At 42.6% G+C, this 17,780-nt stretch overlaps 2 long non-coding RNA genes across 2 annotated transcripts; both read right to left on the bottom strand.

Annotated features, from left to right (window-relative positions):
* Positions 1–5,633: 5,633 nt before the first annotated feature.
* On the bottom strand, positions 5,634–14,343 carry LOC105371117 (uncharacterized). The gene is made up of 4 exons (XR_950895.2): positions 14,296–14,343; positions 12,813–12,877; positions 12,341–12,542; positions 5,634–5,725 (listed from the first exon to the last, which is right to left on the bottom strand). It is a non-coding gene; the product is annotated as an uncharacterized LOC105371117 (long non-coding RNA).
* LOC124903660 (uncharacterized) lies at positions 8,512–9,331 on the bottom strand. The gene is made up of 2 exons (XR_007065018.1): positions 9,204–9,331; positions 8,512–8,720 (listed from the first exon to the last, which is right to left on the bottom strand). It is a non-coding gene; the product is annotated as an uncharacterized LOC124903660 (long non-coding RNA).
* Positions 14,344–17,780: the final 3,437 nt, after the last annotated feature.

Raw genomic sequence — 17,780 nt, 5'->3', positions numbered from 1 at the left:
AGTGACAGTTGCATATGGTGGTCAAAGGAAGTACTTTATCATAGACATGGTTTAGAACGTCTGGCCAATGTTTGCTGATAAGGAAAGATATGCCTACTCTCAGTTTTGTTACTGCTTTGAATTCTCTGCAGACAATGACACCCTTTCCCCCATACCCCCTGTTTCTGGTCCAGGTCATACTGCTCCCATCCCACAAATCATTTCCACTTCTACTCCCATCTTCCTCCTTACCCCTGCCAAGAGGTGGCTTTTATCATTAATCTCCAGCTTTTTTCTTGCTTAAAGAGAGATGTTAACTGAGGGTGCATGTTGATTTTTCAGGACACTCAAGGGGTTTTTAGAGGCTGCAAGATGGGAAAGGAAAGGGAGGGAAAGAAAGGAGGAAGAGAAGACAGATGGGAAAAGATGAGCTCCCCAACAGAGGGGGAAGAAAACTTGGTGGGCTAAACCAAAGATGTTTCATGGAGAATCTGATTGGGTTTCTGCTGAATGCTGTGCAATGTGAACCACCCTCTCCACATCTATAAAATCTTCAGGAAAAAAAATGACATTTTGTTAATACACTGAGGTAATGGGTCTATTGGGGGAGTGCGAAGAACAGCAGCCCCTCTGGACAAACCAGCAAGCCTGGGTTCACTGATTTACAGAGCTGGGGTACAGATTCATGAGATTAACCATGTAAAGTGGCTGACTAAGAGTAAGTATTAAGTAAGAAAGAGAAACAGAGACAGGAAAACAGCAACAGGCAGACACAGAGACATATAGAGGCAGAGAGGAGCTGGAGGAACAAAAAGAGCAGTGAGTTATCTGTGTAGGAACACAGAGCAAGGGAAGACTCCCAAATGACCTCCACTCTGGAGACTTCAGAGCTGAACTAGCCTGTCTTGTGCTTCCCTAAATCCCCAGTGCAAAGCCTATCCCAGAGTGGATATTTAATGCTTACTTGAAATTTTTACAAAAATGCATGCCTCCGCATTTACAAGAACTCATATAAACAAAAGGATGTACACCAGACATATTAGAAATGCTGTCTATTGGGAGCTGGAGAGGGATGAAATAAAAGGCAATTAATTAGTAATAAAACAAAAAGGAGATTTGTCCGCATACATGCTGGTAATTTGCTAGGTAAGAAGAGGTATGAATAGTTCAACCTTGCCCCCTGGGACCCAGAAAGTACAAAGGGAGGGAGAAAGAAAAGAAGGAGAGAGGAGAGAAGAAAGAGAGAAGGAAGGAGAAAGGGAAGAAGGGAGAGAGGATAATTGATTGATGAGTGAATGACAGATTCCACCAAGGACGTTGGAATGTTGGTTGGCTGCAGGGAGGAAGTGGGTTGAGAAAGGTTTTCTTTCTTTTTTTTTTTTTTTTTTTTTTGCAACAGAGTCTCACTCTGTTGCCCAGGCTGGAGTGCAGTTGTGTGATCTCAGCTCACTGCAACCTCCACCTCCCCAGTTCAAGCCATTCTCCTGCCTCAGCCTCCTGAGTAGCTGAGATTACAGGCGTGCACCACCACGCCCGGCTAATTTTTTGTGTTTTTAGGAGAGACAAGGTTTCACCATGTTGGTCAGGCTGGCCTCGAACTCCTGAGCTCGTGATCCACCCACCTCAGCCTCCCAAAGTGCTGAGATTACAGGCATGAGCCACTGCACCCAGCCAAGAAAGCTTTTCAAAGTATTGAAGTAGAATTAAGACTTGGCCTAGGATAAAAAAAAAAGCTGGGACCACTGTCTGCTTCTGAGGAAAGCAATCCAGCATCTAAGGCATAGAATGAAAGGGAGGCTTGTCACTGAAAATCTTCTCATGCCTTTTGAATTTTGAACCATGTGGAATTATTACCTATTCAAATATAAAAATATACATTATTATAGAAAACTGGCCAGGTTAATAAAGGTTAGGGAAGAGATTTCCAAGCATAAATGTATTTCCTCCTTTGCAAACACTTGGGAAATTCTATTTTCTTCCCTTGAAAAGAACCAGAAGGTCAATGTTTGCCTCCTTCCCAGCCCTGGAAGTGATTGACTAAGAGTTTGTTCCTCTCCCAGGTACCTACCTAAGGGCAGCTGTGTGTAGCCATTCCAGCTGCACACTGCACAGCCCTAGGAGCTGCCGAGCTCATCAGCTGTAATGTGAATGGGTTCTTCAGTGCCCAGTCTGCTCAACCTCCTGGTGACACTCTTCTCTTTCCACAGCCTAGCCTTTTTGAGGGCATGAAAGGATCATAAAAATCATAGTTTAAACATCTTCCACCAGGAGCTTCTTTTCTTTTATCCAAGAGGGAATTTCTGAGTGTTATTTGTTTCTAGGTTTTCATATGTGGAGAAAGCAAGCAGGGCTTCCTCCCGATGAGCTCACCTTCCCTCTGGCCCAGCACTTGAGTTCCTCGCCCTGGCAAACAATCCCTCGCCACAAGTGAATTGAATCTGCCCACAACAGCCCACGATGATCTGATGGTTTGTTTGCCTGCCCTGGGAATTCTATTTGAGGAGTGTATTCAGGCTAAGGGAGCTTGCAGCATCCTGACCGCTCAGGATGTGAGGTTACTATCAGGGGGTGAGACAACAGCTGCCACTCCAGAGGCAAACGAGCAAACAGTACATCACACTGCTGCCCTGTCTCCTGTTCCCAATATAAAAGCCTCACCAACCAGGTTCAGCAGGACCCCTAATATGTTCCTGGGAAGATTCCTCTTTCTTCCAGATGTCACAGTGTCTGCAACTCTACTATTAGAAAGCCATTGTTCACTGGCGGCCACCATCCCCAGGGTAAAACCCAAACTTCAGAGGTTACAAGGTTCAGGGTGACCTGATCCTGCTTTCTCCTCACCAATGCCCCCAACACGGGATCTTTTTCAGGTCAACAGGCTCTCTTGCTTCATGGGTTTTGCACAGACTGATTTCTCTTTCAAGAATGCCTTCCCTGTAGTCCCAGCTACTCAGGAGGCTGAGGCAGGAGAACTGCTGAACCCAGGAGGCGGAGGTTGCAGTGAGCTGAGATCGCGCCACCGCACTCCAGCCTGGCGACAGAGCAAGATTCCATCAAAAAAAAAAAGAAAAGAAAAGAATGCCTTCCCATGAAAGAAGACTGGTTAAATAAAAGATGGTACACTCTCACAACAGAATATTATGAAGCCATTAAAACTGATGATAGAGAAGAATATCTGATGTCATGGGAGAATGTTACAATAGCCTTTGAGAAAACCCAGTTATGAAATAACATTAGCAGCTAATGTTTATTGAGGATTTACTCTGAATACTGCTCATTGAATCCTCAAAACGACCTTAGAAAGAAGGTACTGCTATTACCCACCATATTAGAGATGAGGAAGCAGAGGCTCAGATGGAGACATCTAACATGTCTGAAATTACAAGCCTAGTTAGTGGCAGAGTTGAAATTTGAACCCAGGCAATTTGTCTTCAGTGTCTGCATTCTTAACCCCCACATAGCACTGTTTCGAACAGAGTTTGTGCAGTGTATCTTATTTTTGTAAAAACAAAACGAAAAAAGTATTATATGTAGAAAGAGGCAGAGCACTTTAAAGCATGGCCATGATACGGACCAAAATCTTCAGAGTAGTTATCTGTGGAGAATGAGATTGATGACAGGTAATGTCACAGGTTGGTTCCCCAAGAAGCAATCCCTGAGGTGGAGGATAGCATGAGGCATGTTGATTAAAGAGGGCTTATGGGAAGAAGGATACAGGAGGCAGAGCAGAGGGAGAGCTTGAGGTTTGATGCAGGAAGCTCTAGATCTAGAACAATCCTTCAGAGTGTTCCAAGTTGGCCCAAAGTGCCCAGACCTTGATGCTTCCTGATTCCTCAGTCACTGGATGTGAGCCATCCCTTGAAGGGTGTGACATTGAATGAGGTAGCTCTCTGCAGCCAAGGTGTGATGATGAATTTTATGTGTCAACTTGACTGGGCTAAGGGATGCCCAGATATATGGTAAAACATTGTCTCTGGATGTGTCTATGAGATATGTCTATCCAGAAGAGATCCACTTTTGAATCAGTAGACTGAGTAAAAAGGAACACCCTTGCCAATATGGTGGGCATCATCCAATCCATTGAGAGTCCAACTAGAACAACAACAACAAAAAAAGAGTGAATTCACTCTCTCTTCTTGAGCTGAAACATTCATCTTCTCCTGCCCTCAGACATCAGCATCTCTGGATCTCAGGCACTGGAACTCAGCCTGGGACATACACCATTGGCTCACCTGGGACATACACCATGACTCCCTTGGTTCTCAGACCTTTGGACTTGAAATGAATTTCACAACCACCTTTCCTGGGCCTCCAGCTTGCAGACAGCAGATCATGGAACTTCTCAGCCCCCATAATCACATGAGCCAATTTCTCTTAACAAATCTCCTTCTGTATATCTATGTGTTCATGTGCACTTGTTCTGTTTCTCTGGAGAACCCTGACTAATACATGAGGCAATCCCTGAAGGGCCAACAGCTGGAGCCTGGACACAGTCAGCACATGCAACAGAAGGTCCTTTCTCAAAGGGGCATCTGAGATGTGCAGCATCATGATCCCCGCGGGTGATTTTAAATTTCTTCGTTTTATTTGTTTATATGTTCCTCAATTAATGCACCTCACTGTGTCACAACGAAAAAAGCTATTCAAAGAAAAGAAGTCATCATTCTTCAACCACATCAAAGCCAAAGAAAAGTTTGGCTCTGACTGTTAAGACCCAAAAAATAGCACAAGAGTCCAAAGACAGAGGATTTTGTCCTTCTCAGACAACAAATAACTCACACTGTCAGAGAGCTTGGGCGTAAATATTAGTTCAAATTACTGCACACATGTTGGGCACAGTGGCTCATGCCTGTAATCCTAGCACTTTGGGAGGCCAAGATGGGAGGATCGCTTGAGCACAGGAGTTCCAGACCAGGCTGGGCAACATGGCAAAGCCCTGTCTCTACTACAAAATTAGCCCTGTCTCTACAAAAAATTTGCCAGGCGTGGCAGTGCATGCTTGTAGTCCCAGCTACTCGAGAGGCTGAGGTGGGAGGATCGCTTCAGCCAAGGAGGTCGAGGCTGCAGTAAGCTATGATTGTGCCACTGCACTCCAGCCTGGGTGACAAAGTGAGACCCTGTCTCAAAAACAAAAAAGAAATTACTGACATAGGCTAAGGTGGAAGGATTGTTTGCAGCCAAGAGTTCGAGACTAGCCTGGGCAGCATAGTGAAACCCTGTCTCTACAAAAATAAAAAACAAAAATGATTGGCTAGGTGTGGTGGTGCAAACCTATAGTCTTAGCTACTCAGGAAGGTGAGGTGGAAGGACCGCTTGAGCCCAGGATTTTGAGGCTGCAGTGAGCTGTGATCATGCCACTGCACTCCAGTCTGGGTGGCAGAGGGAGATCCTGTCTCAAAAATAATAAAAGCAAAAACAAAACAAATTCCTGTGCATGGATTAGCTAGTAGGGCTCCAAATACAGAAGCTGACAGGTGTGTGAGAAGGGCTTTGGCCCAGAACCCAACTAACCAGATTATCTGGCCTTAGGGAAGCACGTGGCCTCTGCCTCCCCTACTGCAAAATGAGAGGGCTATAGACTATTCCATGGTGGCCCCTATGAACCACACGTTCTAGTCATACCTGTTATGGACTGAATGTTTATGTGCCCCACGTCTGTGTTCCTTCAGCTGGGTGGAGGATGTTGGGAGCAGCTGTTCATTCTCTAGCATTTCAGGCTGCCACAATGGTGATAAAATGGGTCCAGCTTTAAAATATATATATAAATAAACGTTAACAGTTGGAAGTCAGGTCCTTGTACCCTAAAATAGTAAAGTCAAGGAGATCATGGTGAAATGGTGCTGTAAATTCCATCAATGATAAAAGGTGCTGTGTATAATATTATATATTAATACTGGTGCTGTTTAGGTGCAGAATTTTATGAATTGCATATTTCTTCTTATAAATTGGGATAGATTCAATATTGGCACTGTAGTAATGCCCAAGGTTCCTGGCCCATTCCATCTTGTGACGCCATAATCTTCAAAATATGTACACAACACACACACAGGTACACACACACTAGTCCCTTCATCTGCCTCCATCTCTTCATCCTTCAGATCTCAATGTCAACATCACTCCCCCAGTGAAGTCCTCCCAGACTCCCAGCCACATATTCCCACACCTCCCCACTCTCCCCGTATTATAAAAAGATACATCTGGCTGCCTACCCAGAATTCAAAACCCTCCCTTTTATCCCTCCCTCCCTGAGTCTGATGCTATTAGGCATTCACATCTGCCACCTGTTTTAGGGCAATGGTAACCCGTTCCTAGCTCTAGCGAGTCCTAATTAGTCTTAACCCATCAGAATTAGGCATGCTCCTGGCAACTGTTATTGGTTCAGGATAGCTCACATGATCTAAACTGGCCAATCAGATTGAAGGGAAGAGACATAGCCTGGGCAAAGTAGGGAGATTTTAGCCTCTCTCCAGCTAGAAGTGAATGCTGAAGCGGTGGAGCCTCAGTTGCTTCTGAGAGCCATTTTTTATCTACAAGGAGAACCAGGATGAGGCCAGCTCCAGGAGGACAAAGCAGAGAGATGGAAAGAATCTGGGTCCTCTTGACATCACCAAGTTGCTGACCATTTCTTGCTTAGAGCCTACCCTCCATGTGAACTGCTATATCTGTGTGATTAAATAGTTTATTCCTAAGCAAGTTTTAATCAAGATTTTCTGCCATTATAGCTAAAAAACATTCTAATAAGTGCATCTATCATAATTTTCAAAACACTATTATTTTTGTTTGTTTAATTACCTGCTGCCTGCAGTTTTTTTTCACTAGACTATATTCTCTGTGATCACAGACACTGTCTTATTTACCATAGACTCCCCAGGGCCTACCAGAGTAAATAGCTCATAGTAGGTATGCAACAAATATTTGTAAATAAATGGATAACATCATCTATGCTTTATAAATGGGAGAGAAGGGAGTGGGTGTCCAACTAAAATTGGGATGTAACCCTTGCATAGCTCAACTGTGCTTCAGCCTCTATAGAATACTAATAGTACTAATGTACCTTCATAGCTGTTGCAAACTATAGTCATGTGATGAGGTTCAAGACATGCTACCCCAAAATATAATACCTTGGCATTTGAGAATGCAGCAGAAGCAGGATGATATGGTTTGGCTGTGTCCCCACCCAAATCTTATCTTGAACTCCCACATGCTGTGGGAGGGACCCAGTGGGAGGTAATTAAATCAGGGGGACAGGTCTTTTTCATGCTGTTCTCATGATGGTGACTAAGCCTCATGAGATCTGATGGTATAAAAAAGGGGAGTTTCCCTGCACAAGCTCTCTTCTCTTGTCTCCACATGTGACGCAGTGCCTTTCACCTTCCACCATGATTGTAAGGCCTCCTCAGCCAGGTACAACTCTAAGTCCATAAAACCTCTTTCTTTTGTAAATTGCCCAGTCTCAGGTATGTTTTTATCAGCAGTGTGAAAATGGACGAATACAGTAGGTATGCAACAAATATTTGTAAATAAATGGATAACATCCTCTAGGCTTTATGAATGGAAGATAATGGAGAGGGCTTCCAACTAAAATTGGGATGTAACCCTCACCTAGCTCAACTATGCTTAAACCTCTATTGAATACTAATAGTACTAATGTACCTTAATAGCTGTTGCAAACTATAGTCATGTGATAAGGTTCAAGACAGGCTACCCCAAGATATAACACCTTGGCATTTGAGAAAACAGCAGAAGCAGGAAGGTCACTCTCACTTTCCCCTCACCCTTCTCCCCTGAATTAGGCCGGAAAAGAATTCTCTGACACTCCCTTGAAGCAGGTCATAAGACCCTCATTCCAGAAGTGCCCTCCCAATACCCAGAAAAAAAGGAATGTCTTTATCTCTGATGACACAGGGATACAGTGAATAATCTGAACAAACAGGCCTTGCTAAGTTCCCCCCAGTTTATTACCATTAGATCATACCACTTTTGCCCAATCATACTTCTGCATCATTGTCCACTCCATCAAACCTATGCATAAAAATACATAGGTTTCCCTGTTTCTTTGGGTCTTCATTTCTGAAGGTTCCTATGTAATGAAAAACTTATATTAAATAAACTTGCATGCTTTTCTCTTGTTAATCTGGCTCTTCTTATAGGGGCCTCAGCCATGAACCTAGCAATGAGTAAGAAAAGAAATAGCTTCTCCCCTACTCATGTTTTATGTATTCATGAATTGTTTAAGTTATCTGAAATCTAGAAACGTATATGTGAGTGTGTCATGCAAGTAAAGGAATCAATTATGTGGATGGCGGTCAACAACAAGTTAACATTCACCATTATTCCAGTTACTCCTCAATGCACTTCTGCACAGACCTCTCCTGGCACCACCTTGAGCATTCTGCCTTCAGACCAAGAGGTATAACACCTCAGTCCCCAGAACTGGGTATCCACAATTGGAATACCCTCTCCCCAACTGTTCTAGTTATATATTGCTGTATAACCAATTGCCCCCAACCTTAGCAAAAATTATCCTAAAACTTTAATCAGCAAACATTTATTATTTCATTGTTTCAGAGGGTCAGGAACGTGAAGAGGCTTAGGTTCATGGTTCTGGTTGAAGTTCTCTCATGAGATCGCCATGAGTTGCAGCTGCTTCTAAAAGAGCTGGAGGATCTGCTTCCAAGTTCAATTACATGGCTGTTGGCAGGAGGCTTCAATCCCTCACCATGTGGGTCTCTCTATTAGGGCTGCTCATAAAGAGAGTGAATCAGGAAAGAGGAAATGTATGCACCCAAGGCAGAAGCTGAGCCTTTTTATAACCTAATCTTGGAAATGAAACCCTATCACCTCTGCCATACGTTATTCATTAGAAGTCAGGCTCCAAGGAATAAATTTCAAGAGATCTATTATAAGGCAAGGTGACTATAGTTAATGATGACATATTGTATTCTTGAAAAATGTAAAGGGTGGTTTTTATGTGCTCTTACTGTAAAAATGCTATGTGAGTATTGCATTTGTTAATTAGCTGGACTGAACCATTTCACAATGTAGATGTACTTCAAAACATCATTTCATACATGATTAAAACATACAGTGTTCTCTATCAATTTAAAAATAGACAAGTAAATGCATTTTTAAAAATTTTAAAAATAAAATGTTTTTCAGACTATTTCTAAAAAGAAAGAAGGAGGAGGAGGAAGAGAAGTAGTTAAGCACTAAGTCCAACTCACACTCAAAAAGAGCATCCTTAAGTTACATTTCTTGAAGGGGAGAATATCAAAGAATTTGTGGACATATTTTTTAAAACCACGCTATCACTGAATCCTTTCTGTCTTCCACTGAGTGCTTATCTTCTGGGATTAAGAGAGTCACAATTTAGAAGGCATTATGATGAGTACTGCATCATTATCTTCATCATCATCAACATCATCCTCACAAGAAAATTACCATATTAATTGTACCATTTTCGGGGCCATGCCAGGCAGTATGCTAACTGCTTTATAGACACTTAATTCTCAAACAACACTATTAGGTAGGTACTATTATTCCCATTAAGAGTTGAGGAAACAAAGCCCTGGGGCCGTTAAGTGACTTATTCAATGTTAAACAGCTAGTAAGTGCATAAACCAGATCTAACTGCAGTCTGTGCTGTTAGCTACTACTCTTCACTGCCTCCCACCGGCCAGTAAAGGAAACTCCACCTGTCCGAGCAACCAGGTCAGGTTCCCAAAGCCAACTGCCCACCATGTGGAAAATTTAAAATAAAATAAAACTTTGAAATCAAAGTTCAAGAAGGTCCAATCAGAGGATGAGAGGATGGGAAGTTGCAATATACAGAGCTTACTCAAGAATGGAGCCAAATGGATAAGAGAAAGCCATGCACATACCCTATGCATGCAAATCTATGCAGATATATGCAAATGTATGTAAGTGGTCATGCTAATCTATGTAAATGACCATGTCCTGAAAAGCAAAAAGGAGGATCAGCTTTTTCAGAAGGCAGTTTCCCCTGGTCTTGGCTTCTCTTGGTGTAGGAGTCATCACTGGGCAAAAAGTCAAAGTCTCTAGATTGAAAATTGTGAGAAAAGTTGTACCAGAGGTGACATCCAGATCTTTGCAGGAGTTCAGATACCTGAGACCCAGCTTACCTGAGGCCTGGCTTGCCTGGCTCCCAAAAAACTTGTCAGATTCAATACATTAGCAAAAATCAGTAAATAAAAATTCTGTTTGCAAATAAATGTCCGTTTACTTGTCCCATAGATATATTAGTAAAAGCTGATTTGGACACCTATCCTTCCAGTGCAATCACTCACGAACTTTGGTGTGTGTTTGATTCACACAGCCAGGGTCCTTATTTAAAGTACACATCGCTGTGCCCCTCCTGAGACCTCCTGTCAGCATTTGGGTGTGAGAGTCAGCCATGCTGGAAATCTGCATTTTTTAAAACACATCCCAGATGATTCTTGATCAGGAAGTCCATGGACCACCTTTAGAGAAAACTAGTATATAAAAAACACAGAATTTGAGAGCAGATAGACTTGAATTTGAATGTCAGCATGACATTTACTAGCTGTGTGGCCTTGGATTGTCGAAAAGGTGACATGGTACCACCATGCTCATTTGTAAACTGCAGCTAATTTTATTCTCCCTCCCAAAGGGTTGCTGTGATAACCAGAAATATACAAATACATTTGACTCTCGATAACTAAACTAGATAATTCCTTTAAAGGAGTTGGCACAAGTAAAAACTCCATAAATATTTGGTATTATTATGATGATCATTCCCTAACGAAAGGCGAAACCAGAGTCTCCCTCACCCAGAAGCCAGGCTGGCTCATAAAATACTGCCTAGTGCCATTGATAGGTGAAAAAGCTTTTTCTTCCTCCCCTGGGAGGTGGAGCAATGCATCTGATTGGCAGATTGGCAAGAATCTGAGCTTCACTGGTCTACCGTTTGGGGGGAAAGTTAAAGTGTTACCACCTCCCTCTTCCCTTTTCTCCCTTTCTTTCCCTCCCTGCGGTTTTTTGGGGTGTTTTTTGTTTTTTGTTTGATTGCTTTTGGTTTTTGTTTTGTTTTGTTGTTGTTGTTGTTTGTTTTTCAGGTCTTCTTTTCCCCTTTCTCTTATCTCGCCCCTTAAGAAGTTCTCAAGTTCTAGAACAGGAGAGGAGAATTAAGGAGGATCATTAGGTCCACAGGTCCAAGCCATGTCCTTCCACCCACATTAGCCAGCAACAGGCCTGATATTTTGATCCCTGACTCCTGTGTCTGTTAATTTCTCAGTCGGTCGAAAACCCATAGAGCAAAGAGGTGACCATCTGGCTAAAATCTCACCACCCAGTGTGTGCCTTCTGGGTGCCTGATCTCATGCCCAATGGGTAAGTTCCCTTGATATCCATTGCCTCGCTTGGCAGGTTCTCCCTGAGGCCAATTATTCAGTCCCGATTAATCATGGCAACCATACTCATGCACTAATTTCAAGGCTGTCAGAACTTACCCTCATGGAGCATCCTTTATTTACTTGAATTATGACTTCCTTTCATCAATTCTTAATCAAGTGGGTTTATATGGGCAAAAGCAACAAACAGAATTTCCACGTAAACGATACCTCAAAAAGAGAAGCCCCGGGCTCAGTCCATTAACAATTAATCATTGAGTTTTGAAGGAGCTTTCAAAAGCACATCATACATGTTTATAAACAATACCACTGCCCAACCAGCTCCCATAAAAACAGCAGCAACACCCAATGGGTGCAGGCTATGTGCCAAGCACACTGAGCGGCACTTTACATACATTAATTATGGCACTTAATCCTCACAACAACTCCATTTGCAGAGGACAAGTGTAAGCTCAGAGAGGATAATAGAAAACAGTGCCCAAATTCACACAGCCAGAAGTCACCTGGCCAGGATTCAAACTTGAGTCTTGCCTTCAAAGTCCCTACCTTTAGCCAGGTGTGGTGGTTCATGCCTGTAACCCCAATACTTTGGGTAGGCCTAGGCAGGTGGATCACCTGAGGTCGGGAGTTCAAGACCAGCCTGGCCAACGTGGCGAAACCCCGTCTCTACTAAAAAATACAAAAATTAGCCGGGCATGATGGTGAGCACCTGTAATCCCAGCTACTCGGGAGGCTGAGGCAGGGAGAATTGCTTGAACCCAGGAGAAGGAGGTTGCAGTGAGCCAAGATCGCACCACTGCACTCCAGCCTGAGTGACAGAGCGAGATTCCATCAAAAAAAAAAAGTCCCCATCTTCTTCCACCACACCATGATGCCTCCTTGTAACCCTCTCGTCATGTATCCCCTTGTATTTGAGATTATATCAAGGCAAACCCCAGGACTGAATAGCCTATCTTACTGCTTATACTCACAGAGTAATTTCTAGGTTGAAATCCTGGCTCTTCCTCTTGCTAGCTGTGTGATCCTGGGCAAATTACTTGAACTCTCTGAGTCCCAATTTCCTCAACATGAAGATAGGAATAATAATCTTGCCCTGGTTTTCTTATGGTAATTACTTTCTGGGGTAGCTGTGAGCATTAAAGTACAGTGATGAACATTAAAGTGTTTTGTAATCTGTAAGAAATATACAAATACATTTGGCTCTTGAACAACATAGGGGTCAGGAATGTCAACCCCCAACACAGTTGAAAATTCACATATAACTTTTGACTCCCCTAAAACTTAACTACTAATAGCCTACTGTCCACTGGAAGCCCAATAACATAATCAATTAACACATATTTTGTATGTTATATGTGTTATACACCATATTCTTACAATATAGTAAGCTAGGGAAAAGAAAATGTTTCTAAGAAAATCATAAGAAAAAGAAGATATATTTACTCTTCATTAACTAGAAGTGGATCATCTTAAAGGTCTTCATCCTTGTCATCTTCACCTTGAGTAGACTGAGGAGGAGGAAGAGGAGGGATTGGTCTTGCTGTCTTAGGGGAGCAGAAGCAGAAGAAAATCTGCATATTTGAATCTTCACAGTTCAAGCCCATGTTCTTTAAGGGTCAACTGTATTATTTTTTGATGTTATTATTTAAATTATTCTTTTGTGGTAGACAGAATTCTAAGAGGGCACCCAGTGATCCCTGCTCCCTGGTATTCAAGTCCCAGTATAACTCCCTCCTCTTGAGTGTGCAAGGGACCTGTGACTTGTTTTTAATCAACAAAACACAACCAACGTGATGGGATGCTGTTTCCACATTGGGTTACAAAAGAATGTGATTCCTGTCTTGCTAGCAGACTCTATTACTTGCACATTCTGACAAGGACCCATGTGGCAATAAACAAGAGGAACTGAGGTCCTCACTCCAACAACCACAAGGAACTAAATCCAGCCAATGACCACATGAGTTGGAAAGCAAATCCTTCCCCAGTAGAGCCTTGAGATGACCAAATCCCCAGCTAACACCTTAACTGCAGCCTGCGCAGATGAGCTCTGCCTGAATCCCTGAGCCACAGAAACTGTAAAATAATAAATGTGTATTCTTCTAAGCCACTGAGTCTTGTGGAAATTTATTAACCAGCAATAACTAATACACCATTCAATCACTGATTCATTCAAACATTCACTGAGCCCCTACGACATACCAGGCACAATACTAGGGGAGGGGACACAGAAATAACTGGGGCATGGTCTGTATCCTCAGGTTGTTCATTCTAGTGCAGGATCTGACTTGCATATAAATGAGAGCAAGGTACACAGCCTGCAGGAAATAATGCGGAATCCATGCACAAGGATGCAGGGTTAATGTGTGCATGGCAATCTCCTTCCTCAAAATGTAAGTCCTAAGTACTAAGAAATGTACATTTTTTTACTTACAATTTAAAGGGAAAATTTAGTTTAAAATAAAGGAGAAAAGAAACACAAATGTGTCCATCAACAGGAGAATGACCCCAAAAAAGAAAACCAAAACACAGTTATATTTGCAGGCCATGAATCCCATAAAGTATCTAGCAGCCATTAAAAATAATGAAGTAAGTTTATATCTGTCTATATAAGTCTGTATCTGTCGATATGGAAAAAACTCCAAGACACATTGCTGGTTGAATTTGTTAGGAAAAAAATAGCTTGATTGTAAATAGTATCTTATTGAATAGTTGTATGAGAAACAACTATTCAATAAGACACTATTTACAATTTAAAAATAACCAATTTTGGCTAGGCACAGTGGCTCATGCCTATAATCCCAACTCTTTGGGAGGCCGAGATGGGTGTATCACTTGAGGACAGGAGTTTGAGACCAGGCTGGCCAACATAGTAAAACCTCATCTCTACTAAAAATACAAAAAATTAGCCAGTCGTGGTGGTACTCACCTGTAATCCCAGCTTCTCGGAAGGCTGAGGCAGGAGAATTACTTGAACCTGGGGGGCGGAGATTACAGTTAGCCAAGATCACCCACTGCACTCCAGCCTGGGTGAAAGAGCAAGACTCTCTCTCTCAAAAAAAAAAAAAAATCCATTGTGCACACACATATGCATGAACATACACACATAAATAGCATTTACCTTCAATGATACATAAACATGTACAGTAGGTAGAGAACTGTACAATGAGGATTAAGGACACAAACTATGGACTCAGACTTCTGGGACCCAACTTCCAGTTATGCCATTTACTGGTTATGTGACCTTGAAAACATTTCTGAAATGTTTTGAGCCTCAGTTTCTTCATCTGTAAAATGGAAATGATAATGGTGGTATGGTTTGGCTGTATCCCCACCCAAAATCTCATCTTGAATTGTACATTTGTATAATTTGTAATCCCCGTAATCCCCATGTGTCAAGGGAGAGACCAGGCGGAGGTGTCCGAATCATGGGAGTGGGTTCCCTATGCGTTTTTGATAGTGAGTGAATTCTCACGAGATTTGTTGGTTTTGTAAGAGGCTCTTCCCCCTTTTCTCAGCACTTCTCCTTCCTGCTGTCTTGTGAAGAAAAGGCCTTGCTTCCCCTTTGCCTTCTGCCATGATTGTAAGTTTCCTGAGGCCTCTCCAGACATGCTGAACTGTGAATTAATTAAACCTCTTTCCTTTATAAATTACCCAGTCTCAGGCAGTTCTTTATAAGAGTATGAAAACAAACTAATACAAATGGTATATACATCATAGGGTTATTGTGAGGATCAAATGAGCTAATATAAAGTTGATGCAAAGTAAGTTCTCAATGAATGTTTGCTATTATCAGGACTAATACAATGGTTATTATTACTCCTACGACCACTAATGATCTGCAACGATAGATACAAAATAAAAATAATGAAAAGAAAAAAGAAAAATAAGATAATAATATAAACAACAGGGGTATTGGAATGAGAATGGAGAAAAAAAGGGTCTCTATACATATGTGTAATTTCCATTTTTTACAGGGACAACAGTTCAGGTATTGTGTAACTAACAACCAAAATCAAGAAATAGATAGTCAAATAAATAGTCAATTGAAACCAACTCATAAATAGTCAAATAGTAATACAGGTGCTCACGTATCGTGGGGCGCGAAGCAGGAAAGTACTCCGTTTTCTCTGAAAATGGAGAGGGTGTCATGGCAGGCTCTATGGAAAATGCGATTCACCCAGAAACCACCCCTCCCACTGATATTTTCTCCAAGTGCAAATTTTCCTCTTTGTCGTCTTTGTCTGAAGAAGCACTGTGAGGCCTTCCAGAGTCCCCTACAGATTGATAAAGGTCCTGTTGAGAACCTGGGGAAGTGCAGGGTTGAGGGGCAAAAGCTGTTCCCAAAGTTTCCCAGAAACCCAGGAGGACGGCTGGGCCAGCTGCCAGCATGGCCTGGCTGGACCCTCCAGGATACCCAGCAAACTCTTCCAGCCCCGCCGAACTGTGCATTAATAAACTCATAATGAGCTGTCTTCCCATTCCAGGCTACTGCTGCTGCTGAGTGCTGCTGAAGGATACCTGTGTCTTGTGAAGAGGCTTGGCTGGTAATGGTGATGGATGGCCCTTCCTCTGCCTGCCCTCCCTCATCTGCCTTAATCTGCCAGGTCACCGGGCTGGTGGGGGCTGCAGACTGAAGTGAGGAAACCCACAGGAGGGGCTTCTGAATGGAAGCAACTAAATCTCCCAACACCCTGGGCCTCAAACCACAATTGGGATCTCATTAACTAACTCCAAGCTCTAACTAAGTGCCCACCATGAATGAGCATCTCCTTTTGAAGCAATAAATTCACCCAGAGGAAGCAATTAACAGAACCAATAAGAGTAGGAGGGAGCAGAGAAGAAATATTTATCAACAGCCTCCTCATTGCTTTTTCATTTTTCCTTATTTAATTTATCCAATAAACTTTTTTCCTAATTATTTTATTTTCTTTTTTGTCAGTCTCTGCTTATCCATAATTATTTTATTTTTATTATCCAATAGTCTTTTAATATCTTCACTATTATTATCGCCCATTTTATGGATGAGAAAACTGAGGCTTGAAGAGGTTCTGACTTATTCAGTAGTACACAGCTAAGAAGCAAATGGGCCAGGCGTGGTGGCTCATGCCTGTAACCCCAGCACTTTGGGAGGCCAAGGAGGGAGGATTGTTTGAAGCCAGGAGTTCAAGACCAGTGTGGGCAACAAAGCGAGGCCCCAACTCTACAAATTTTTTTTTTGCAAAGATTAGCTGGGTGTGGTGGCATGCATCTGTAATCCCAGCTACTCAGGAGTCTGAGGCAGGAGAATCACTTGAGCCCAGGAGTTGAAGGTTGCAGTGAGCTATGATGGCACCACTGCACTCCATCCTGAAAGACAGAGCAAGACCTCATCTCAAAGGACAAAAAAAGAAGCAGCAAATAAATTTGGTCCTCATCACATTGTTTATGTCCATTTCACAGAAAAGAAAACTGAGGCTTGGGAGATCAGGTGGCTTTCTGAGGGAGGACCATATGGTTGGGAAGTGATGTAGTCATTATCTCTTTTTTTCTGGTTTTTTTTTGGTTTTTTTGTTTTTTTTTTCAGATGAAGTCTCACTGTGTTGCCCAGGCTGGAGTGCAGTGGCACGATATCAGCTCACTGAAACCTCCGCCTCCTGGGTTGAAACAATTCTCCTGCCTCAGCCTCACAAGTAGCTAGGATTACAGGCACGCACCACCATGACTGGCTAAATTTTGTATTTTTAGTACAGATGGGGTTTCACCATGTTGACCAGGCTGGTCTCAAACTCCTGACCTCAGGTGATCTGCCCACCTCAGCTTCCCAAAGTGCTGGGATTACAGGCATGAGTCACCTCACCCGTCTGATGTGGTCATTATTTCTGAACTCAAGTGCAGAGTTGATTTGATGCCCAGAGATGGAAAGAGCATCTGACCTTCTTCATCACCCACCTGGAGGCTGCATCAGATCTTTTCTGATCCTCTAAATGTGGTCCTGGCTTCACCCCCAGCAGAATCAAACTAGGGTACATGTTAAAAGGCAGATTAGCTGGTCCTGCCCCTAGTCTTTGAAACAGACACTCTCACCAAAAGATCTGGAGTCTGCATCTTAAATAAACAACCCAGAAAGAGTCCCAAGCATGCTGGAGCTTGGGAACCACAGCACAGGCATCCCTCTCTGATGCTTGGTACATCTTGATCCATGAAGAACAAGGCAGCTTTTGCAAGAGCGCTGTTTAATATTAGTGAGCCAAATTTTTACATCCATCATCATTTTACATTTATGAAGTTCATTTTCATCCTCTTAATCAAAGATCTAAAGCTGGCAGACTTGAGAATTTATTTGGCCAGCAGTTAGGCTCTTAGACCAGTGTTTTGAAAGAATGTAGTCGTGGTCCTAAACAGAGACCACCTTGGTTCACATCCCAGCTCCCC

The sequence above is a fragment of the Homo sapiens genome, chromosome 16, assembly GCF_000001405.40.
Source record: "Homo sapiens chromosome 16, GRCh38.p14 Primary Assembly".
NCBI classification, from domain to species: Eukaryota; Metazoa; Chordata; class Mammalia; order Primates; family Hominidae; genus Homo; species Homo sapiens.
This window is presented reverse-complemented; position numbering and strand designations above follow the sequence as displayed.